General features: G+C 35.8%; 1 protein-coding gene across 7 annotated transcripts in view; it reads left to right on the top strand.

The window, feature by feature from the left end:
- SMARCA1 (SNF2 related chromatin remodeling ATPase 1) overlaps positions 1 to 25,001 on the top strand; it is a 76,985-nt gene that overhangs the window by 34,036 nt on the left and 17,948 nt on the right. For all 7 annotated transcript variants that reach the window (NM_001282875.2, NM_001378264.1, NM_001378263.1 and 4 more), the window contains 8 exons: positions 370 to 518; positions 2,318 to 2,437; positions 8,270 to 8,380; positions 8,641 to 8,754; positions 18,129 to 18,251; positions 20,550 to 20,682; positions 23,493 to 23,611; positions 23,723 to 23,935. In NM_001282875.2, the coding sequence (NP_001269804.1) occupies positions 370 to 518; positions 2,318 to 2,437; positions 8,270 to 8,380; positions 8,641 to 8,754; positions 18,129 to 18,251; positions 20,550 to 20,682; positions 23,493 to 23,611; positions 23,723 to 23,935 (1,082 nt within the window). The remainder of the gene's footprint in view (positions 1 to 369; positions 519 to 2,317; positions 2,438 to 8,269; positions 8,381 to 8,640; positions 8,755 to 18,128; positions 18,252 to 20,549; positions 20,683 to 23,492; positions 23,612 to 23,722; positions 23,936 to 25,001) is intronic.

Below are 25,001 nucleotides of genomic sequence, written 5' to 3'. Positions count from 1 at the left end.
AGCATGCTTTTTGAAGTACCTGAGATTATTTAGCAGATAAAATGGCTACTTTTAAATTTTTGAAAACATATTAGAGGGTACCTTTTCATATAGAGAAGTTTGATCTGAAAACAGAGTTTGAACATGAAAAAAAGTTTCTGTCCTTCTGGGTTTTAACTGAGTTTTACAGAAGGGAATTTATATAGAAATAGAAAGTATGCTAGAAGAAAAACTTGTAGGGTTTATTAAACAAATAACCTTAATGCTCACTAATTTTTTGTTCTTTAAAGCTTTATGTGTGGTTAAATGTGATAATGTCTGATTAGAATGATTATGCCTTCTTTGGAATATGATTGATTGAATATGTACAATTTCAATTTTTATCATTAGGAAGACTCATTGACCAACAGTCTAACAAGCTGGCAAAAGAGGAAATGTTACAAATGATACGGCATGGAGCCACCCATGTTTTTGCTTCTAAAGAGAGTGAGTTGACAGATGAAGACATTACAACTATTCTGGAAAGAGGGGAAAAGAAGGTTAGTTAAAATAGCATTTTATTTTCATGCTGGATTGTTTTAATATCAACATACTTCAGCATACTTATATTTTCATTGTACATGTTTATCTGCATTATCTACATGTTTCAGGTAGCTCATATTCTCTCCAACAACTTGTAGATCTATTTCCAGGGGTAGATTAAGGCTTTAAAACTTTTTTTTGGTGAGAAAGACTAAGAACCAGAGTTTAAAATTGAGTGACCTTATATCTAATGCTTTATTGAAAATACTATATCTAAAAGCCAAGTAAATTTTGTGTTTAATCACATGTATAAGGAATGCTTTTTTTTTTTTTTTTTTTTTTTAAAGAGACAGGGTTTTGCTCTGTCACCCAGGCTGGAGTGCAGTGGTGCAATGATAACTCACTGTAGTCTCCACCTCCTGGGCTGAAGTGATCCTCCCACCTCAGCCTCCTGAGTAGCTGGGACCACAGGCATGTACCAACATGCACATCTAATTAATTTTCTTTTTTAGAGACAGGGCCTTGCTGTGTTGCCCAGACTGATCTTGAACCTCTGGCCCCAAGTGAGCCTCCCACCTCTGCCTCCCAAAGCACTGAGATTATAGGCATGAGCCACCATGCCTGACCAGGACTGTATTTTTATAATCTTTTTTTTTTTTTTTTTTTTGCACTGGACTAGAAATCATCTACTGATACATTGGTTAATTGAAAATCTTTTATAAAACATTTCATGAAATGCTAAATCACTATTTGTTAAAGCATAATAAGTTGTTTCAGAATATTGTAATTTTGTGTTTAGTTCACCTTCCCCTCTCCACAAATTATGGATAATTTTAAACATAAGTAAAAGTAGACAGAGTAGTATAATGAGCCCCGAAGTACTTATCACCTGTTTCTAACAACCATCAACCAGTCCTGTTCTGTCTATATCCCCAGTTATCTTTCCCCTCCTTGGATTATTTTGAAGCAAATCTCAGACATACTTCAGCTGTAAATAGTTCACTGTGTATTTCTAAAATAGAAGGACTCTTTAAAGATAATCATTATAACATTGTCTCACCTGAAAAACCCCAATAATTCTTTAATAACACCAAATATCCAGTTAGTATTCAAATTTACAATTGTGTCGTAAATATTTATACTTAAAAAGTTTTCTTTTCATTTTTAAATCAGAATGCAAATCAAAATACAAATTGCCATGGTTGAGATTTCATCTCTATCTTTTAAAATCTATAGGCCCCCTCTCCTGCCATGTATTGTATTCCTTGTAATTTATTTGATGAAAAGACTAGGTTGTTTGCCTTTTGAGTTAATCACAGTGTGGATTTTGCTGATTTCATCTCCATGGTGTATTTTACTATGTTTGTTGCATATCTTGTAAACTGGTTGAATTTGCTTTTCAGAAGAATTTTGTAGTTCAGGTAATAACCTGCATTTTAAATGATCTTGTGTTAATATGTTTCATACCAGTATGCAAAATGTGTATTTTTAGTCCATCTTTGCCTTTCTCTTAGCTTTAGCTATTTGTCCCATTTAAATTATGCAAGAGCAATTATAATGTGGGTACAACTTCACTGACAAAAGATTTTAAAGAAAGCCTAAGTGAGAGTACTTGGGAAGCACCATTTAAATATTTGAAATACTTGGGCAAGTAAAATTTGCACTTCAGGTTTGATGTTAGCATTGCATTCATACCTTGTAAATTAGCAGACTGGATATTTCATGTCAAAACCTGACTATTAAAAAGGTAGAGAATCCACAGACTTTTACAAGTAATTCAGTGATAATTTTCTCATTTCAATGTTTTCACCTTTAGACTGCAGAGATGAATGAACGCCTGCAAAAAATGGGAGAGTCTTCTCTAAGAAATTTTAGAATGGACATTGAACAAAGTTTATACAAATTTGAGGGAGAAGATTATAGAGAAAAACAGAAGGTAACTTTTTACTCTCAACCATTAGACCCTCAAATGAGCATTTCTCCCCATAACAATTATAAAATAACACTGGCACTTACCTATTATAATACCCTGCTCTAGAGTGAAATTTGATATAGGTCTAAATATCTCATGCAAGGTATATCTTTCGTTTATTTTATTGGTTTATCGTCGTCGTCGTCATCATCATCATCATCATCATCATCAATTTTTGCTGTTGCTGCTGCTGCTGCTACTACTACTACTACTGCTTAGTACTACTTTTGTTATTGAGAAGCAGTGTAGGATTGAGGTTGAATTCCTGAATTCTGGAGCTGAAATCTCAACTCTTGTCACTAATTAAGTGACTCTGGGTATTCTCAATTTTCTCATTTATCAAATGGAGGTTATAATAGTTACATCATAGAGGGATTCTGATGATGAAATGAGTTAATACTCATAAAGTTATTAGAATAATGCCTGACACTTAATGTTAACTGTATGAATAATAATATTAGTAACATTTAGTTACTTAAATGCAGAAGGACTTTGTTACATGTGGTCTGTTGAAGAAATGGGGGTTTTATTTATCTTGTTTTTTAAACTGAAATTAAGGCTGAGATTTTAAAACTTTTTATTTTTAAATTACTTTAGACTTACAAAATAGTTGTAAAAATAGTACAGAGCTAACCTATAGCCTTCACTCAGCTTCCCCTAATATTAACAATTTACATGTTAGTATAATGATCACAACCAGGAAATTAACACCAGTTTTTCTCCTAATGTCCTTTCCTGTGCCAGGAAAAGGACATTGGTTAATTATCTAATTAACTGGTGTTAGATTCCAGGGGATCTAATCTAGTATCCCACAGTGCATTTTTAAAAAAATAGACTTTATTATTTTTTCCTTCTATTTTTAGTTGACACATACTAATTGTACATATTTATGGGATACAGAGTGATATTTTGTTACATATATACAATGTGTAATGATCAAATCAGGGTAACTGGTATATCTACTGTCTTAGCACATTTGTGTTGCTGTAAAGGGATACCTGAGGCTTGGTAGTTTATAAAGAAAAGAGGTTTATTTGGCTCATGGTTCTACAGGCTGTAAGAGAAGCATGGTATCAACATCTGCTTCTGGTGAGGGCCTCAGCCTGCTTTCACTTATGGCAGAAGGCAAAGGAGAGCTGGTGTGTGCAGAGACCACATGGCAGAGACAGAGAGAGAGAGACAGTACCAGAGAGAGGAGGGAAATGCTAGGCTCTTTGTCAGGAACTAATAGAATGAGAGAACTCACTCATTACCTCGAGGACTACACCAAGCCCTTCATGAGAGATCTGCCCCTATGACCCAAACACTTCCTATTGGGCCCCACCTCCAACACTGGGGATCAAATTTCCATGTGAGATTTGGAGGACAAACATATCCAAACTATAGCATTCTGCCCCTGGCCTCCCAAATCTCATGCCCTTCTCACATTGCAGATTATAATCATTCCATCCCAATGGTCCTCAAAAGTCTTAATTTGTTCCAGCATCAGCTAAAAAGTCCAAAGTCTCATCTCAGTCTCAATGCAAGTTCCTTACAGCTGTGAGCCTATAAAACCAAAAACAAGATATTTATTTCTAAGATACAATGGTTATATAGGCATTGGGTAAACATTTCCATTCTGAAAGGGATAAATCAGCCTAATGAGAGGGGTACCAAGCCCCATGCAAGTCCAAAACCCAGCATTAAAGCTCCAAAATGATCTCCCTTGACTCTGTTTCCCCCATCCTGGGCACACTAGTGTGAGAAATGGGGTCCCGAGCCCTTGGGCAGCCCTGCCTCCAGGGCTTTGCTGGGTACAGCCCACGTGGCTGTTCTCATGAATTAGAGTATGGTGCCTGCAGCTTTTCCAGATAGGAGTTGCTTGATGCTGGTGGCTCTGTAATTCTAGGGTCCCTGCAACACCCCCAATTCCACTAGGCAGTGCCCTTGTTGGGGACTTTGTGTAGGAGTTCCAACCTCACATTTCCACTCAGCATTGCCTTAGTAGAGTCGCTCCACAGGGCAGCGCCCCTGTGGCAGGCTTCTGCCTGGTAATCCAGGCTTTCCAATACATTGTCTGCCATTTTTCCCTCTGTAATTGATAAATACCTTGTGGGGAGATCTTTCTCAGACTTTTACTCACTGATTTTAGCATGTACTGGTGGAGCTTGCCTGCAGTAGTTATTATTGTGGTGTTTGCCTAATGGTAATTTTGTATTTTCTTCATTCCATCTATATGTATTTATTAATTGATATTTTTCTGTGTGGAAGATCTACCCCTTCTCCCCAATTTATTTGTGTCTTCAGTTATTTATTTATATCAGTATGGACTCATGGATGTTTTGAGTTATAATCCAGTTCTATCTTTATATATTTTGTTGCTCAAATTGCTCTATAAAGCTGTTATATTTTTGAACTGACAGAAATGAATTTTCTTAAAATAAAAAAGCTCATTCTTAGGTACTTATTTTACTGAAAAATGAGAGGTGAGACATTTTGGTTTTGCACTGTAGCTAGTATGCTGATAATGCTTTGTTTCTGTTACTGCTTCTGATAGCTTTTAGTTTCTTGATTTGTATTTGTCAGGTTGTCCTATCTCTAATCTTCACTTAGACGGCTTATATTTTATCCTGCTGAGATGGAGGTGATGGCCTATCTGCACAGGGTGGAAATTGCCTTTCTAATATGCTTTTGAGATCTCATTATGTGATATAAGTTTTATTAATTTTACAATTATTCCTGCAGACTTATGGATAATAGGAGTGTTTTATGAAGTGGAAAAATTTTAAACAATGAAGTCTAAATACCAGTGGAGCTTCTTATCCACATTTTTAGAGAAAAATTAGTAAAATACTTGGCTATCTGTAACTGGTTTCCTTGTGCTTCTAATTTTAGCAAAGTAATGATGCGTAAAGAGAATTTTAATAACCATGATGACTTGTATTTTTATAATTAAATGTCTGACAGTAACAGTGGTGTCCAGAATCACATTTTTTTCTGAATATTCTGAGCTGAGATTATATTTTATTTCTGCCTCTTTGTGTTTTCTAGATAGGTTCTTAAAATAGGTTTAAATTATCTTTTGAGGAGAAGTGAAAACTTGAAAGAATATCATTTTTAAATCATGGAAACTATACATTGAGGTAGATTTTCATATATGGTTTGTTGAATCAGTTGCATTACTTTTACAACCATACCTGGTAAATTAAATCATGATGGCTGTGATCCTGAATAAATTAACCCAGATAAGTTAGCATTAATGTACTCTTATGTAAAGTAAACTAATTCGGTATGATTTATTCTTTTTTTTGAAAGTTGAGGAATTGGCCTTCAATGTTTGTTTCAAATTTGAATGCCTAGACCATCAAACAAGTATAGGTTAAATAGCTAAATACATCACTTGTAGAATGTTGGTTTAAATTATTATTAATTTATTTTTACTCCAATTGAGAAAGATAAAATATTGGTTATTTATAAAATATCTCTTTCATTACTGTCGCTTCACATTAATCCATCTGAAGGAAAAGCGAAATTTGTTTCATTGCTGTGGGAATTTCTCATTTTACTTAATAATCTCATTATAATATCGGTATCTCAGGCTCTTAGAGTTAGAAGGTCATTTATGTTAAGTTTCTTGTAATTAAGAAATCTCATCTTTAGCATCCAAGACAGATATGCAGCCTCTGAACACTGTAGTGTTGGGAATCTTATCCCTCTCAGGGTAGTTTGTTTCACTGTTTTATATTCTCTGGTTCTCAGAAAACTTTTTATTTGAGTTACAAGTTCCTTGATGAAAGAGATTATTTTATTCATGTGTATATCACTGACACTGACTTGCACATAATACAGTAGGTAATTAATGAATAGTTAAATTATATTGAGTAGCCATCTACTTTCTCTAACTTTCCACATTGATTTTAATCTTATGGATCAATGAAGGACTGTGTTCTTTTCTATTTGATAGACTTTCATATGCGAATGTCACCGTTGTGTCTGTCTTTAGTCATTACTTCTCTAGACACTGTGAGAATTTGTAGATCTCTAACCATACTGGTCATCTTGGTTTATTATCCACTCTTAAAATACGATGCCAAGGTTGGAATTCAGCCCTTAGATTAGATCAAGTAGAGTGAGACAACTAATGGTGGATTAATGCCCCCTTTTATGTAAAGATACTAGGCTAAGGACAGAAATAAAGAAAAATATGAATTAGGAAGCCATTTCTCAGACTCCAGAACATTGTAGTGTCAGTTTTGTCTGTTGACTGTTAAATTATATTTTCTAGCTGATAATAGGGTAAAATTGGTAATGCTGCCAAATCATGGTTGATGCTACTTTGGATGTTTAATAATATCTTGCATTTAACTCTTGGCAGTTTACTTAATGCTTTCACATATATGATCATATGTAATCCTCAAGGTAAGTATTATTATTCTCATTTTGCAGGTGGAAAAAAATAATTTCCCCAAAGTTATATAACTAGTGAAGTAGCAGAATCCTGGTCTTTCTGTTTCCACCACTTTTCCAACTCTGCCATACCTGTGTTTCCAGAAGGTCTCATTTGAATATTTCTCTTGATTTGAAGGGATATATGCTTATCATGTTGACATTTATTATTTACCCCTTTCATCTGTTTCTTTCTTTTTTTTCTTCTTTTTTAAATTTTTTTAAATTATACTTTAAGTTTTAGGGTACATGTGCACATTGTGCAGGTTAGTTACATATGTATACATGTGCCATGCTGGTGCGCTGCACCCACTAACTCGTCATTTAGCATTAGGTATATCTCCCAATGCTATCCCTCCCCCCTCCCCCCACCCCACAACAGTCCCCAGAGTGTGATATTCCCCTTCCTGTGTCCATGTGATCTCATTGTTCAATTCCCACCTATGAGTGAGAATATGCGGTGTTTGGTTTTTTGTTCTTGCGATAGTTTACTGAGAATGATGATTTCCAATTTCATCCATGTCCCTACAAAGGACATGAACTCATCATTTTTTATGGCTGCATAGTATTCCATGGTGTATATGTGCCACATTTTCTTAATCCAGTCTATCATTGTTGGACATTTGGGTTGGTTCCAAGTCTTTGCTATTGTGAATAATGCCACAATAAACATATGTGTGCATGTGTCTTCATAGCAGCAAGATTTATATTCCTTTGGGTATATACCTAGTAATGGGATGGCTGGGTCAAATGGTATTTCTAGTTCTAGATCCCTGAGGAATCGCCACACTGACTTCCACAAGGGTTGAACTAGTTACAGTCCCACCAACAGTGTAAAAGTGTTCCTATTTCCCCACATCCTCTCCAGCACCTGTTGTTTCCTGACTTTTCAATGATTGCCATTCTAACTGGTGTGAGATGGTATCTCATTGTGGTTTTGATTTGCATTTCTCTGATGGCCAGTGATGATGAGCATTTTTTCATGTGTTTTTTGGCTGCATAAATGTCTTCTAATTCATGCACGTATTACAGTTACCACAGTCAATGTTACTCTTCCGTCTATATTAGCTACCTTTTATTTATTTAATTTGACCAAAAAAAACCAGATTGTACAGATTCTTCTCAATCACCAAGGAAGAACTAACTTTAAAAGCTACTTTCAAATAAAAATAAAGAAAACTGTCTTTGCATCTAAACTTGGTGTACCACTATGTTTTGGAACTTTGGAGGTAAATTGTGATTTATAAGGCAAGTTTTGATTCTTCCTGATGGCTTTTGCTTCCTTATGTTTCTGCAGCCTCGATGTACTTGATTTTGATAAAACTGTTGTTTGGAGTCATTAAACCCCTTGTTGTTGTTTGTTGTGTATAGCTTGGCATGGTGGAATGGATTGAACCTCCTAAACGAGAACGCAAAGCAAACTACGCAGTGGATGCCTACTTTAGAGAGGCTTTGCGTGTCAGCGAGCCAAAGATTCCAAAGGTAAAACTGTACAAGGCCAGTTTTTATGTCCTAAAGTAGATTTCTGTTGCAACATGATCTATGGGTCAGATTTACTTGTATCATTGCCAAATCATAGTCTCTAAAATATAACAGTACAAAAAAGTATCTGATTTGGCCCAGCCATATAAATGGATTTTATTGTATTTATTGTTCCATATATCACAGAAATAGTAAAAGATAAGTAAGTTTACTTCATGTACTGAAAAGAAGTATATATAATACATTTTCCTCCCTCATAGGCTCCACGGCCTCCAAAACAGCCAAATGTTCAGGATTTTCAATTTTTCCCACCACGCTTATTTGAGCTCCTGGAAAAGGAAATTCTTTATTATCGGAAGACAATAGGCTATAAGGTATTTTTTCCATTTTTTAAGATTAATATAATATAATCTTTAAAAATAATTTAATCTGTTAATCTAGACTAGAAGGTGTTGCATTTTAATTTGAGAGAATGTGACAGCAAATCACAACAGTGATGTTTTTAAAACCAAAGAGGAAGTTTAACTAGATGTAAAACATCTAACCACTGAATCACCAGTACAGTCATCACTAAATGAGATTAATGAAGAATTATGCAATATTTTGAAATAGTAATAACATTATTTTTATAATGCCAGTGTTTGAATAGTTAAAGAATATGTAGAGAGAACAATAGGTATGCGGTTAAAAGCGAATGTTAATATATGATAGGAAATTTTTGATCATTTCCTTAATAGGTCCAAGAAATAGTATTTCTGTCTTTATTGCCTATACGTTGCTGAAAGCCTTGCTGGTGGTTAGTAGATTGTAGTCACTTAGGTGTTAAAGATAATGATAAACATGATAGTGAATTATACAATTTTAAAATGATCTTTTGGTATTTGGAATTCTTATTTATATAGGTAGATAGAATCCTAGTTTTCATGAGTGAAATTTAATATTTGTCACACTAAATCTGTCATATTGGGAGAGTAAGCATACCAGGTAATTTCTGTATGTTGAAATTGACTTCCTAGTGAATGGAGAGAGATGACCAAAGGTATAATAATCACTAACATTAAAAAATTATAAAATACTGGCCGGGTGCAGTGGCTCATGCCTGTAATCCCAGCACTTTGGGAGGCCGAGGCAGAAGGATCAGTTGAGGTCAGGAGTATGAGACCAGCCTTGCCAACATGGCAAAACCCCGTCTCTACTAAAAATGCAAAAATTAGCTGGGTGCGGTGGCAAGCGCCTATAATCCCAGCTACTCGGGAGGCTGAGGCAGGAGAATCGCTTGATCCTGGGAGGTGAAGGTTGCAGTGAGCTGAGATCGCGCCACTGCACTCCAGCCTGGGCGACAGAGGGAGACTCTGTCCCAAAAATAAAATAAAATAAAATAAAATAAAATAAAATAAAATAAAATAAAATAAAATAAAATATTAACACTATTTTAATTTTATGAAGTGTTCTGTTTTATGAATTAACAGCTGTGTTTTAAATTTTATTTTGTAAACCTTTGTCACAACTGGAACTGTGACCCATTATTTTAATTAGTAGCTGGAATGTGCCTAGAAAAGCTCCATGTATATAAGATACTTATATCTTAACTCATTATATTTTGGAACTAGAGTAGATCTCTAGGGTGAACATTCATATAAGACATAAAACTAGTTTCAAAGAAAGTGAAAACAGTGATACACCAGAAGAAACAGGTAAGTTATAGGTTCAAATATAAAATAAAAATAGGAAAATTAATGATAATTATTAACAATAATTATTAATTGTTTAATAATGAAGTAGTTATCTTGTGAGGTAAACAAATACATATCATCTCATTAAGGTTTATAATAATTTGAGGTTTAGAATATTATTTTCTGTTACGTTCATTAACTGTTGTTAGTGAGACTTGAAAGGAGAATTAATTGAAATGTTAGACCTCAGTAATAAATCAAATATTTGCATAGAACATTTTATAATTTACAAAGTGCTTTAACACATACTGAGGTCGTTGATTCCTAACAACCTCATGAAGTAGGTGTTATTATCATCTCCATTTAATAGGTGAGGAAACTGAAGTTCAGAGAGGTTAAATGACCTTGTTCAAGATCATGGAACTAACAGGGTTGCCATGGGTCCTGGTCTCACAACCAGTTTCTCAGTATTCAGATGTTCTATTCGTTCCGCTCAGACGTTCTGGGCTCTTTCTGCATGCGATGTAACCCTGCTTCTTTCTGCAGTCCTAAATAAGGACTGTGTTTACAATGGTGTGGCATGACATTTGGGAGTTGGGCCAAGTGGTAGTCAAGTAGCAACAATTAAAAAAATCATCTCTGATATAACTTTATGCTCCTTCTTTGGAGATACTGAAATTTTGTTCCCCATGATAATTTACAGTGACCACCACATTCTGGCCACCGGTCTGGTTTGAATATAAACAGTGCCTTTCATTACAGGCAGTTTGTGGTTAGGGGTGAAGTCTTACAGTGACTCTTTGGGTGGTGGCCAGCTGGAAGGAGATGGAGAAGAGAGGAAACCTCAGAAGATGGAGGAATGAAGGGACAGCTGTTAAGGGTGGTAGAAAGGAAGGGGAGGAGGAGAGGTATAAGAATAGAGGAAAGGGATGAATAGGGAGAGGGGAGATGGCATGGAATTCGTGCTATTGCACCTTATTGTTTGCTCTTCCTCACTTCCCTGAAAGAAGCAAGAGGAGAGGGAAAAAGAGTAAAAGGAGGACCTTTTTTTAAAGTGTAATACCTATTTATTGAGCAATCCTTTGTGCCAGGTACTGGGCCAAGTACTTGGGATAAAGCAGTGAATAAGACAAAGTCTTTCATCTCATGGAGCTTACATTCTAATAGAGGAGATAGGCATTAGATACTACAATGTAATGGTGGTGGCATTTGTGTGGTTCTGTGCTTACAAGGGGTGCTAATGAGGGAGTATAACATGGGTATCTCATGTGGACTGGGAGATCAGGGAAGTGTTCCCTAAGGAAATGTCATTTAAGCTGAGTTTCCAGAGATGTGAATGAGCTAAGTGAAGTGTGGGAGAGAAAAGCTGAGGCAGGTGGCACCTCATATGCAAAGGTCTTGAGGTGGGAAGGAGGATGACTCCTTTTGGGAGCTTTAAGAAAGCCAGTGTTGTTAGGGACTGGTGAGACACAGGGTGACTTGAGATGAGGCTGGTGAGTGGGTAGAGTCAAATCATATGGAGGGCTTTGTAGGTCATATTAATGAGGTTGAACTTTAGCTTTAGAGTAAAGGAAACCCACTGAGATGTTTTTAAGGCAGGGAGGTGGGTGGGTGGGTGGTAAAGTAATACTAATAGCAGATACTTAGTCCTTACATGTGTTACTTATTGTTCAAGTTATTTGTAAATGTTAGCTCATTATCCTCCTAACAGCCTTTGAACTACATCCTTATTTTACAGATGAGGAAACTGAAGCATAGAGAGGTTGAGTCATTTGCCCTGAATAATTTGCTCAGGGTCATACAACTTATAAATGGTAAATTATGATCAGATTTACAATTTTTTTTTGAGACAGAGTCTCACTTTGTCACCAGGCTGGAGTGCAGTGGCGTGATCTTGGCTCACTGTAACCTCTGCCTCCCGGGTTCAAGGGATTGATTCTCCTGCCTCAGCCTCCCAAGTAGCTGGGACTACAGGTGCATGCCACTACGCCCAGCTAATTTTTGTATTTTTAGTAGAGATGGGGTTTTACCATGTTGGCCAGGATGGTCTGGATTTCTTGATCTCTTGACCTACCTGCCTTGGCCTCCCAAAGTGCTGGGATTACAGGTGTGAGCCGCCACGCCCAGCCCAGATTTACATTTTTAAAAGATCACTTTGGCTGCGATGCAGAGAATGGCAGGTTTATCTAGGGAAACCAGCCAGGAGGCTGTTGAAGTATCAAAATGAGAGAAGATGGTGGCCACTTGGACTGCAGTGGTGGTGGTGGAAGGAGAACCAATCCCCTACTACTCTACTCCTAGCCTTGGACTCTCTTCAGCCGTATCCTAGATTGCTTCTGTATTGTCTTAAGACTTGCCTTGATCCTCCTTATGCATGCTTAGCTGAGGATTTAGGTGACAAATAAGAATACATTCTGGATATTTGTTCTTTCTGGACCTTGTCTCTTCCATTCTTTACTAGGAACTATGGACCTGAGCTAAGGTGGGTTCTTTAATTGGGTGGTTTTTTGTTTGAGTTCAGAGAATAGACAGATCAGCAGGCATGTTAATCATCTTAAAAAGCTCCCTTTTAAGGATGATGTGATATATAACCGTTAGACATATCTTCTCAAGGCATAGCTAGCATTGCTTTATTTCCCCCTTGCACCTTCAGAAAACTCATCAGGGCCACAAAGTAAATAGAGCACTAGTTTATCCTCAAATGAACAAAACAAAATTGCTTTAGTGGAGTTACCTGGTATTCTGTGTACACAGATTCTCAAAAAGGGACTCTTTCCCCCTTTTCTGCCTAAAGGATTGTTAGCCAAGGGGAGATAGGTGATGCCCATAGCTGGGGGCACTGTGGTTCATGGTTACGTTTTATCTATGTTGAGTCTCCAAAGGCTTATTCTGTTGTGATTTGGAGTGGGGCTAGTGAAGGGCCCACAAGTTTTGAAGCAGTTGGTAGAGAGTGGTTTCCTTGTACTTCCTGGTTATTTGCATTTTTATTTTCTGTTTTTCTCCCCCTTTCCCTCCCTCATATTCAGCACAAGGTCACAGCAATATTGCTGATAATAAGATCTGGAGTTAAAGAGTTTTGTTTTATTTGAAGGTGAGAGAAGTATTTGTTTCGCCCTAACCACGTGGTGGACAGCAGTACATAATGTGCCCATTCTTGCTGCTATCTAAGCTTTGACCTTAGGCATATTCAAAAGCTGCATTGCTCTTTCGACTTAAAGGAGTTGTTATTTAATGCATGCAATCACTTGGTCACTAAAACCTTTATATTGGAAGAGGACGACTTAATTGAAATTTCAATTACAGCATAAAAAATCCAGAATATCTGGACGTTCCATTGAGTCTAAAACCTGGAATGCAAGAGTTTTGCCACATTCGAAGCTAAAGAAAGCTATAGAACATTCTAACATTTATCCCCAATAAAAAATTCTTTAGGGACAAATATAAACATTTGACAAATGGAGGAAGTTCCATAATCTTTGTGAGTTTTGGTAATGTGTCATTGTGGGCCACCTACTTTTTCAGTGGTAGAACTAAAATAATGGTGAGCTGATTTCAGGTTACTGCTTTTATTTTGTGTGGTGTCACATTTAATTCAGTACTCCATATTTCCTATGCAATGCTTGCTAAACTCCTCCTAAGAAACAAGGCCAAAAAAAGTTTTTCACTACTTCATGGAATACATTTCTTAATCACAAATTCCTTAGCATCTGAGTAGAAATCCAAATAATAATTGAGATTTTTACTTTAGAAAGATAACATTTTATATATTGTGTTGCTGGAGATCATAATGAGACATAGAGTATGAGGACTTTAAATACCTCCTGGGTATCTGTTCAGTACTATTGGTCTGTAATTTGTCTGCTTAATTCTTTTTTTTTCTTTTGAGACGGAGTCTCACTCTCTTGCTGAGGCTGGAGTGCAGTGGCACTGTGTCAGCTCACTGCAACCTCCATCTCCTGGGTTCAAGCAATTCTCCTTCCTTAGCCTCCCGAGTAGCTGGGATTACAGGTACCCATTACCACGCCCGGCTAGTTTTTATATTTTTAGGAGAGACGGGGTTTCATCATGTTGGCCAGGCTGGTCTTGAACTCCTGACCTCAGGTGATCCACCCGCCTTGACCTCCCAAAGTGCTGGGATTACAAGTGTGAGCCACCGTGCCTGGCCTATCTGCTTAATTCATAATGTAGTACTTTGAAATCATTCCAGGAAGCTTAATGCTGATACGAACCTCATGAGGTAAAAAAAAAAAAATGTATGTCTTATTAAAATGATGACTATTAAGGTTTTTTTTTATAGGAGGTGTATTAGTCTGTTTTCACACTGCTGATGAGGACATACCCGGGACTGGGTAATTTATAAAGAAAAGAGATTTAATTGACTCACAGTTCCACATGACTCGGGGGCCTCACAATCATGGTGGAAGGCAAGGAGGAGCAAGTCAGGTCCTCCATGTTAGAAGGGAAGAGAGAACTTGTGCAGGGGAATTCCTCTTTGTAACACCATCAGATCTCATGAGAATTATTCACTATCACGAGAACAGCATGGGAAAGACCTGCCCCCATGATTCAATTACCTCTCACTGGGTCCTTCCCATGACACATGGGAATTGTGGGAGCTACAATTTAAGATGAAATTTGGGTGGGGACACAGCCAAACCATATCAGGAGGGAGATACAGGAATTTAGAAACTTTGAGCCTTTTCTAATTCTAAACATTTTAGCAGCTATTTGAGTAATTTCTAGAATTAAAATAGCAAACATAGCTTTCATGAAGTCATTCTTGTTTTGCTATGTTAATTAATATGACCACTGGATATAGAATAAATTGCAGTGGATTCTAAAATCTAATGGTTTTATAAAATATTCTGATTTTGCTTTTATTAGAAGTTGAAAGGGGAAGTTTTTAGTATGGGGATGTCTGCATGGGAATAAACAGTTTTATTTTATTTTATGTGGGTATATTTATTTTCTGTCATGAATTGGATGTTTATAAAATATTTTCATTTTGTTAAAAATATGGTTTGTTGGACATGGAAATTTTGAAAATGTTTAAGAGAAGGATATCTTAAGATCAAAGAGGTTTCTTTCAATTAAAATTAAAATTTGAAACCAAAGTAATTTCACATACCAGCAATTTAAGGGGTCTATTAACTTTTAAAACTGTATCTGTACTTTTAAAAAAACATTATGAAGGATTTTTAAAAATACAAAAATGTTGAAATAATTGTACAGTGAACACCCATATATACCCCACATATGTTTGACAATTTACATCTTATGGTATTTGCTTTTTCACCGATTTTTCCATTTCTCTGGCCCTCTATCATACGGATATTTATCTTATTATTATGCATCTCAAAGTTGCAGACATAAGTACATTTTACCCAGAAACACTTCAACATGCATGTCATTATCCAGAGTCATATTTTGTTTATGATTTTTTAAAGTAACATTTACATAGAGTGAAATATATAAACCTTAAGTGTACCATTCAATGTTTTTTCACAAGTGCATACACTTATGTAACTCGAACTCCTCCTATAAAGATATAGACCATTTCTGTCACCCCAGAAAGTGCCTTTTCCCAGTGACCATATGCACTCCTCAGAGGCAACCACTGTTCTGATCTTTCCCTCCATAGATTAGGTTTTTAAATTTTTGTTCTAGAATTTCACATAAATGGAATCATACAATATGTATAAGGCTTGTTTCACTTAGCATAATGTTTTAGAGATTCAGCCATGTTGTCCCATGTATCTATGTGGCTCCTTCCTTTTGATTGTGGAACACCTATTCCATTGTATGGATAGGCCACAGTTTGCTTATTCATTCTCTTGATGGTCATCTGGGCTGTTTTCTGGCTTTTGGCTATGATGAGTAAAGCTGCTGTGAACAATCTTGTCAAAGTCTTTGTATAGATACATTTTCCTTTCTTTGGGTAAATACTTAGGAATGGAATTGCTGGTATGCCTGTAATTTTAACATTGGGTTTAGCTACTGAAGAGAAGTTGTTTTTAATCATGCTATGACTGGGCTACATTTCATTTTAAATGTACACCTTTTCCATTTCCATTTGCCACCATCCTAGTCCAGATGATCATGCGTCATTTCTAGATTATGATAGTAGAGCAGGTTCTCTTACCTGTTAGTCGCTGCCCCACTTCAGTCCATTCAGCAAAAGGCTTCCGGGTGAAAACACTACATTTTGACACTTTACTCCCTTGTTCAAAAGTCTGCAGCACCTTCTGTGTAGTGTCAAGACCCTGTAAATCTGTCTCTACCCTTCCTTGTTTCTTATCTCTTTTCAACATAAACCCCATATGCGCCTTCCTGCACATTTCTGCCTTCATGCTTTTGCTCATACCCCTAGCCTAGAATATTCTTTCTTCCTTCTCCATCTCCCTAGATCCTTAGAGTTCTTAAGGTACAGCTCATAATTCCACAACTAGTTTGTGAGCTCCTTGTGGGCAAGGACCATATCTAATATAGGTAGAGTTTCCCTCATTCAAAAATCTGAAATCTGACATGTTCCAAAATCCAAAACTTTTTGAGCTCTGACATTGCGTCCAAAGGAAATGCTGCTCATTGGAGCATTTTTTGGATTTCGGATTCTCAAGTTAGAAATGCTCAACAGATAAGTATAATGCAAATATTCCAAAACCCCCAAAAATCTGAAATCTGAAACACTTCTGGTCTGAAACATTTGGGATAAGGGATAAAACCTATGCTTATATTCCAATCAATACTTATCATAGTTCTACAAACATAATAGACATTTAGTCAATACCTGCTAATTTGATTGCCTGATACTGATGATTACAAGTGAATCTAATTTCTCAGTATTTCTTTTTAATGCTCAGTTAGGTTTTATACCTGAAGAACTATTGTACTTAATAGTTAATTTTTAAGTTACTTTTAAGTTACAATGATATAGTTCCAAACTCTATGAAATACATATAACAATGAGAAAAATGCACTCTAATGTGTATTATAATTACAGGGTAGTAAAACCATGACTACCTGATGCCCCTAGGGAATGAGTCATGTGTGCATTTCAAGCAGTGGAAGGCTTACTGCCAGCCCTTTTATTTTCATGTTTAATGGAATGCTATAAAGTGTAGTACACATGTTATGTACTTGCCCTCTTAAATCAATGTGCTTCCTTGTAGCTGCAGATGCACATAGCGATGGTATCAGGCTTTAGGCTGAGAGACTTCATTTGTTCCTCCATACACACAGTATAGTTCAGCCCCATACTGCTGAACCACATTGGTTATATATGCTCACTGTGATACACTGAGGCTCTGCAGGCTACAGTTTTGAGATACAGGTGACAACTTGCTTTCTTGGAGAGCTGAGCTTCTGTCCTTATCTTTTGAACTCAAGTTCTCTTCTCAGTTTTCACTGTATTTGCAGTTCTGTACCCAAAACACCATATATGATTTCTGTTGGTCACTGCTGTTGTAGTCTTTTCCTCCTTGACCACTGGTCCTATCATAGCTATTTGTGTGCTCTACTATACCCTTCCCTCTTATATTCTCTGTTTCCTCTTTTTTCTTCATTATCCTGTTAACTTTTTCCAAACTTTCCATTTTATGTAAAAATGCTCTCTCCCCTTACATACCTTGGCAGGCAATAAAAGCACTCCTTTCTTTTTGCATGTTGAACTGATCAGACTGTTGGATGTAATGTTCAGGTGCGTTGCCACTTCTCCATTCTGCTCTGTGTTGCCAGGGGAATATGGATTCTTTTTTGTTTTTTACCACTAAACTTTTTGTTTGTTCTGTATATTACAATAGTATAAGGGTAGACTTTGTTCCAGGGTATAATCATATCTGAAATCTAATGTGGCATTTGCCAGTGAGTTTTAACTATGGAATATCATGTGGCACAAGAATGGTTTTTACTTCAATAGGATCATGGTAGCAGAAATGTGGAGAGGACCGTGTGTCATTCTGGCTATGATTTTATATTGTTTACTCTTGAAATAACTCTAAAGATTGATATGTGTATATACAGCCTTAGTAATTAATTTTTCTCATCAGTTTACTCTTAGTTTATCTCTTGATTTATAGGTTCCAAGGAATCCTGATATCCCAAATCCAGCTCTGGCTCAAAGAGAAGAGCAAAAAAAGATTGATGGAGCTGAACCTCTTACACCAGAAGAGACTGAAGAAAAGGAAAAACTTCTCACACAAGTAAAATATTTTCAATGGCTGTAATACTTACAGTCAATCAATAGAAAAAAAGAAAATATAGATCACACTTTTTATTGTATGGGCCTAGTATCCTAGTGTGACACACCAACAAAACTCAGGGCTATTTTGTAAACATGTTTAGACCAAATCTCCTTATTTTTAAAAATTGATCTTATAGAATATGCCCTTTTGGAAATAGTGGATAGTATGTATATGCAAAATATAAGTGTCAAGTATTAGCAATTTGACATACATTTTGCCAATTATAATAAGGTCAGTGAATCCACATTTGAATTCTGATAGACAGTAGTTATTAACATATTCTTTTTTGTTTTTTGAGACAGTCTCGCTCTGTCACCCAGGCCGGAGTGCAGTGGTGCGATCTGAGCTCACTGTATCCTCCACCTCCCAGGTTCAAGTGATTCTCCTGCCCAAGCCTCCCGAGTAGCTGGGATTACAGGCACCCACCACCGTGCCTGGCTAATTTTTGTGTTTTTAGTAGAGATGGGGTTTTGCCATGTTGGCCAGGCTGGTCTCAAACTCCTGACCTCAAGTGATCCACCCACCTCGGCCTCCCAAAGTGCAACTGATACTACAGGTGTGAGTCACCGTGCCAAGCCTGTTATTAACATATTCTTGAAAATTTAAATTTCTTTTGTTTATAGATGTGAATTGTCTCCTGAAGTTATATTCTACTAATTTTTTATTAATGGAATAATTTCATAATTTTCAAAATTCTTTTTATCTTTTTTTATAATTTTCATACAATGATGAGAGATTTCTGAAGCTTTTATTATTATTATTATTATTTAAGGTGATCATTGTATAACAATTATTAAATTAGGAAGGTTTCCATTTGAACAAAATATTAATGCTTTTAAGTCATTATTGCTATCATGAGTTTTACGAGTGTTCTACTTCTAAAATAAACTATAGAAGATAAAAATTTCAGCATAGAAGGCTTGCAAAATAAACAAAATGTGTACCGTAGGACATTACTTTAGTATAGAGGGTTGCCAGCAAGATTTATTTATTCAACAAATTTTGAACAATGTGCGATGCATAGTAGTAGGTAATTCTCCACGTTAATTATTGAAAGATAGTTTTTATATTTGTATATTATTTATTATATAGGTTTTTTTTGCTATAACGTAATTTTATTGTATGGATTTTCACAAATTACATTCATAAGTTTTTGAGCCAAATGCCTGGAAGTAATAAAGTTTAGTTTGAAAATATAATGGCAGATGGCTGAATATTAGAACTTACCACAGAATAAAATAAAACATTTAAATATTCATGTTCTATTTTCAAAATGTATTTCCTGAATGTAAAAGTAAAGTTATGGCTTTAGAATGCTACATGACTTGGAGTATATTGTGAATGTACGGTATAACATGAATATACAGTCTCAACTGAGATAATATTTTAGTTTGTAATTAGAAATATAATCAGTTTTCTGCTTCTCCTAGTATATGAATTCATTTTTGTCCTTCTCTGCTGCCTTAAATAATTAATCTTTTTCAAAAAACCATGGCAGTACGTAGGAACAAAATGTGGGGTCATCTGAAATCTTTATCAACTAAAAGCCAGGGATAGAGTTTTGCAGTGTCTGGAGTATCACATTTATGTGAGTTGGGGCTCGAGGAGTGGAAGACAAATTCTTGGTCTTGTGACTTCACAGACATGCTAATAATGCCAAGGGAATTTAAAACACTGGCTAAAGTGTTTTATGTTTTAGTAAAGAAATTGAGTGGCTCCAATAACGTTCTGCTTGTAGAAGTTCTATTTATGAACATAATTTAGAACAGAAATTATTTATTCACACTAGTTCAGAATGATGTAAAGAGCTACAATTTTTTTTTGCATTATCTTTTGGTTATTCCTCAGTGTTCTTTTGATTTAGTGCATCCACATTTCTCTCTTTTAATTTATGTAGGAACAGATCTGTGAAAAAAATCATTGAAGTACTAGAATATCACGACTTCAGCATTTATATTAGCATTTTTATTTTCATGCATTTGTATTTTAATGTAGGCATCTATAAAATATGAAATTAAAAACTACAGATCTTCGAACTATGTATCAACATTCTCTTTGTAATAGAAAAGCAGTTATTTCTATAACAACTCTCACTCAACTTTTGATTCCAACATAAAATATGTGCAATTTTATAAGGAGAAACATTTTAAGTCTTTTAAAGTGTTTTTTAATGTATCATTGTATAGAAGTAAATAGGGCAATAAATGGATTTATTAATTTAACCTCTATTGATAATGCTTAACTTTTTGTTCACAGGGTTTCACAAACTGGACTAAACGAGATTTTAACCAGTTTATTAAAGCTAATGAGAAATATGGAAGAGATGACATTGATAACATAGCTCGAGAGGTAGAGGGCAAATCCCCTGAGGAGGTCATGGAGTATTCAGGTTTGTATATAATTTGAAACATGGTGTTGTATTTTAACGTTATTCATTTATTTAGCATCAATTTAATTGTACCTTTGTTCAGAGATGTTTTAAACTTTTATGAATAAGACATAGATGAGAGTATAAACTATAATTGTATTTCTATGAAAAGGTTATAAGAAAGGTTATAAGATTTATCCTAACAAACTGACTGCTATTGTCTCTATCACCTAGCTAAAAGAGGCAAATAAAGCTCTGATAAAACAAGGGTGGCTCTTGGATAAGCATTGACAAAATTAGTTTCCCACCTTCCCACCTCTGGAATTTGGTCTTCTGGTTCAGTTCTGAGATTCACATTCAGTGGATTGAATTCGTGCCTTTCTTTCTAGGTCGTCCTTAAAGTAGAGAGTTCCTGTCAGGCCCATTTAGATGCTCAAACACCCTCAGAGTTCCACCCTATTCCAGAGAGTTCCTGTGGGTCCCATTAACTTGGGGCTAGCGGGCGTAGAGCTGAAAAGATTGCTTTAATCAATCTGTTAACTGGTCCTCAAATCCTCTCCCTCTCTTACTCACCTGTGTTGTTGAGCTCGACCAGAATCAGTTTAGCTGCTGAAGCATATGGATTTTTTTTACACTTACTGGTTTATTATAAAGGGTATTGTAAAGGATACAGATGAAGCGTGTAGGGCAAAGTATGGGCCAAGAGGGCGCAGCGCTTTGGTGCCCTCCCTGGGCGAAACCTCTTCGTGTTTAGCTATCCAGAAATCTTATTAAAAATAGGTAAATATGTCTAGCAAGTTTTCTATATGTAGTACATGGGACTTTTCTAACTTCCAAATAGGTTCAGCTCTTAAACTTATCATTTGAAACAAGATGTTTAGAATCTAGAGCATTTTTTGTCATTGAAACAATGGCAAAGTAGGTTTAAGTTTACAAAGTAGGTTTAAGTTTCTATGATAGCCCCTGCCCCAAATCTATTTAACCCTACCACTGAAATTCTGTTTTTGCAATAGTAGGAAAGAAACATTACAGTACCAATAAATATACTAAAGATTAATAATAGCTAGGAACAGCTTTTAATTTATCTAGCATGCTAGTGCTTGAAGAAATCCAGATTTAATTAGAGAGATTTTTTTTTCTTCTGGAAATCTAAAAGAGTCTTCTGGGGGACTTCAGAGGTCAGTTGTATTGAGTTTTTATTACATATAATATAACATTAAGTATATGAACTTCCTTTTCCTTCATACCAGCATGATATTACTATTACTCTGAACATTTAGCACATAAATTTAGGGCATTTGGAGGCTTAGGGGAAAAAATAGATTGAAGAGAGAAATTTTAGCATCAAGAGTTGAATGAAAAGAATGTAAAAGGGTATGTGCAGAGAGATTTTTAAGAAGAATTTTTTTCAGAAGATAGGCAGGGAGATAACATCGGTGTATGTGAAGTTGCAAGAAAAAAATGTGATTTAAAAAGATGATCCTGTCAGACTTTCTTTCAAATTTGACACCAAGCCAGGTGGCATGACTAGCTCAGGACTATTTAATTGCTGCCTGCCAGGTTGGGGGCCATGTCACAGGGTGAGGAGATTGCAATGAGTTTGTTGTAGTTGGTTACAGTAAGAGAAGAAATGTGTACAATTGACCACCCATGAATATACAGTATCCTGTACATAGCAAGTGTTTAAATATTTGTTGAATGAATATGTGAGTGAATGAGTAAATGAACACAGGTGCTTATAAAAATCAGAGTGCTCACATACCTTTCTTGATAGGCTCTAAAAATGAAAAGCTTGAGGATGTGGAGTATGTCATTAAAAGGCCTTTCATTGAAGTCATGTGACATATTAATACAGCCAGATTATTTGGCTCATCTATAAAATTTGGTTGAGTGACTTGGAATGTTTTTCAGTGTGTATGCAATTAAAATCCCAATGAGGTTTTTTTTTTTTTTTTTATGAGAAAAGGGTATTCCAAGTAAGTTTAAAAACACACTACTGGTCATTGGAAATACCGTAAGATGATTAGTGAGTGATTCCAAAAGCAAATGACAATTTCAAGAGAAATGGCTGCTCCATAGAAAAAAATTTGAACAACCTGTTCATAATAGCTTGGGTTTTTTGTTTATTTGTTTGTTTTTGAGATGGAGTCTCACTTAATCGCCCAGGCTGGAGTGCAGTGGCGCGATCTCGGCTCACTGCAACCTCCACTTTCCGGGTTCAAGCAATTCTCCCGCCTCAGCTTCCCGAGTAGCTGCGATTACAGGCACGCACCACCATGTGCAGCTAATTTTTGTATTTTTAGTAGAGATGAGGTTTCACCATGTTGGCCAGGCTGGTCTCAAACTCCCAACCTCAGGCAATCTGCCCACCTCAGCCTCCCAAAGTGCTGGGATTACAGTGTGAGCCACTGTGCCTGGCCCATAATTGTTTTCGCATGCTAGGAAGCTATATTCACTGTTTATATATTACTCTCTCCTGTGTCACTTTATGTGTTTGGTCCCTTTTCTATCATGTTTGAGTAAAAAGCCTAGCTTAAATCAGTATCTGCATCATCTTTTGAAATCCTAGTCATTTGGGATGGATCGTAAGACTCCGTACTATTTCATGAAGGAAAATTGCTAACCTAAAACCTTGTTTTGAGGTCTTATTTTTAAGTGAAAAGTTAGTAGTATTTAATAATTTAACATATTATATATATAAGATTAATCTGAATCTTAATTTTAAGAAGTACAAGCTCATTGTATTCTTTCCTATTAATTCCTTATTCTACAATTCCTTGGATTTATTTGCTTAAATGATAGGATTTTAAAGAAATAACTCTGTTTTTCAGCTGTATTTTGGGAACGTTGCAATGAATTACAGGACATTGAGAAAATTATGGCTCAAATTGAACGTGGAGAAGCAAGAATTCAACGAAGGATCAGTATCAAGAAAGCCCTGGATGCCAAAGTACTATGTTTTATGTCAAATTATTATTAGATCGTTTTAATTGAAATAGTGGTCAGCTTTGACTTCTTACTGCACATTCAATTAAAAGCACTATTTTGTTTAAATACACAGATTGCAAGATACAAGGCTCCATTTCATCAGTTGCGCATTCAGTATGGAACCAGCAAAGGAAAGAACTATACTGAGGAAGAAGATAGATTCTTGATTTGTATGTTACACAAAATGGGCTTTGATAGAGAAAATGTATATGAAGAATTAAGACAGTGTGTACGAAATGCTCCCCAGTTTAGATTTGACTGGTTTATCAAGTCTAGGACTGCCATGGTATGTATTCCTTTCTTACCGATTTCCTCCAACTTTTTATTTTGAAAAATTTCAGATGCCATATATCCTTCACCTAGATTCTCCAATTAACATTTTGACACATTGGCGCTCTCTCTTTCTCTCTCTCTGTGTGTATGTGTATACATACGTAGCACCTATATATACGTGCAGAATCTATATTTTGTATTAAAAAATACGGGGACATCTATATTCTATATTCTGAAATGCGTATCTATATTTTATAAGTATACTTAACTATATTTATGAACCATTTGAAAATTACAGACAATGTGAGTGTTCATCTCTAAATACTTAAGCATGTATCTCCTAAGAATAATGACATTTTCTTACATAACCACAATCCCACCTGAAAACATTGATTCAGTAATGTCATTTAGTATACAGTCTATGTATAAGCTTTTCCAGTTGCCCCCAAAATGCCCCCTTTATAGCTGTTTTTTTTAAAATTGATGATCCTGCAAGTTTCACACATTACATTTCGTTGTTGGGTCTCTTTAATCTCTTTTAATCCACAACCTTTTGGTTTTCGTGATCATGACTTTTTAAAGGTGTCCAGGCTAGTTGTCTTGTAGAATGTCCCACATTGTGGATTTACCTCATTACTCATTGTAAGATTCAGGTTCAACGTATTTGGCAAGAGTGCTGTGGAAGTGATGTTATGTATTTTTTATTGCATCCCATCAGAAGGCACATTATGTCATGTTGTCACACTGTTGGTGATGCTAAGTTTGGTCACTTGTTAATGTGATGATCTTCAGAGCTCTCCGCTTTAGAGTTATGTTTTCCCCTTTGTAATTAAGCAGGTTATGCTTGAGACTATGCGAATGACTTAAAGATGGACTTTTAATGAAAAGGAGTTGTTGCCTAAGTTGAGTTTTTTATTAGGAAACAGAATATTTAAGTTGAAGAGATATTTTATTTTAGCTTATGTGATTTCCTCCATTACTTTCTAATGTGAATTGTGTTCCTATTCTAGTCCTACTTAGCAGTGGTGTTCATGATGATTTTGAAATACATGCAACACATTTTTAATGTTGGCATTGTT

The sequence above is a fragment of the Homo sapiens genome, chromosome X (genome assembly GCF_000001405.40).
Source record: "Homo sapiens chromosome X, GRCh38.p14 Primary Assembly".
Classification (NCBI taxonomy): domain Eukaryota; kingdom Metazoa; phylum Chordata; class Mammalia; order Primates; family Hominidae; genus Homo; species Homo sapiens.
This window is presented reverse-complemented; position numbering and strand designations above follow the sequence as displayed.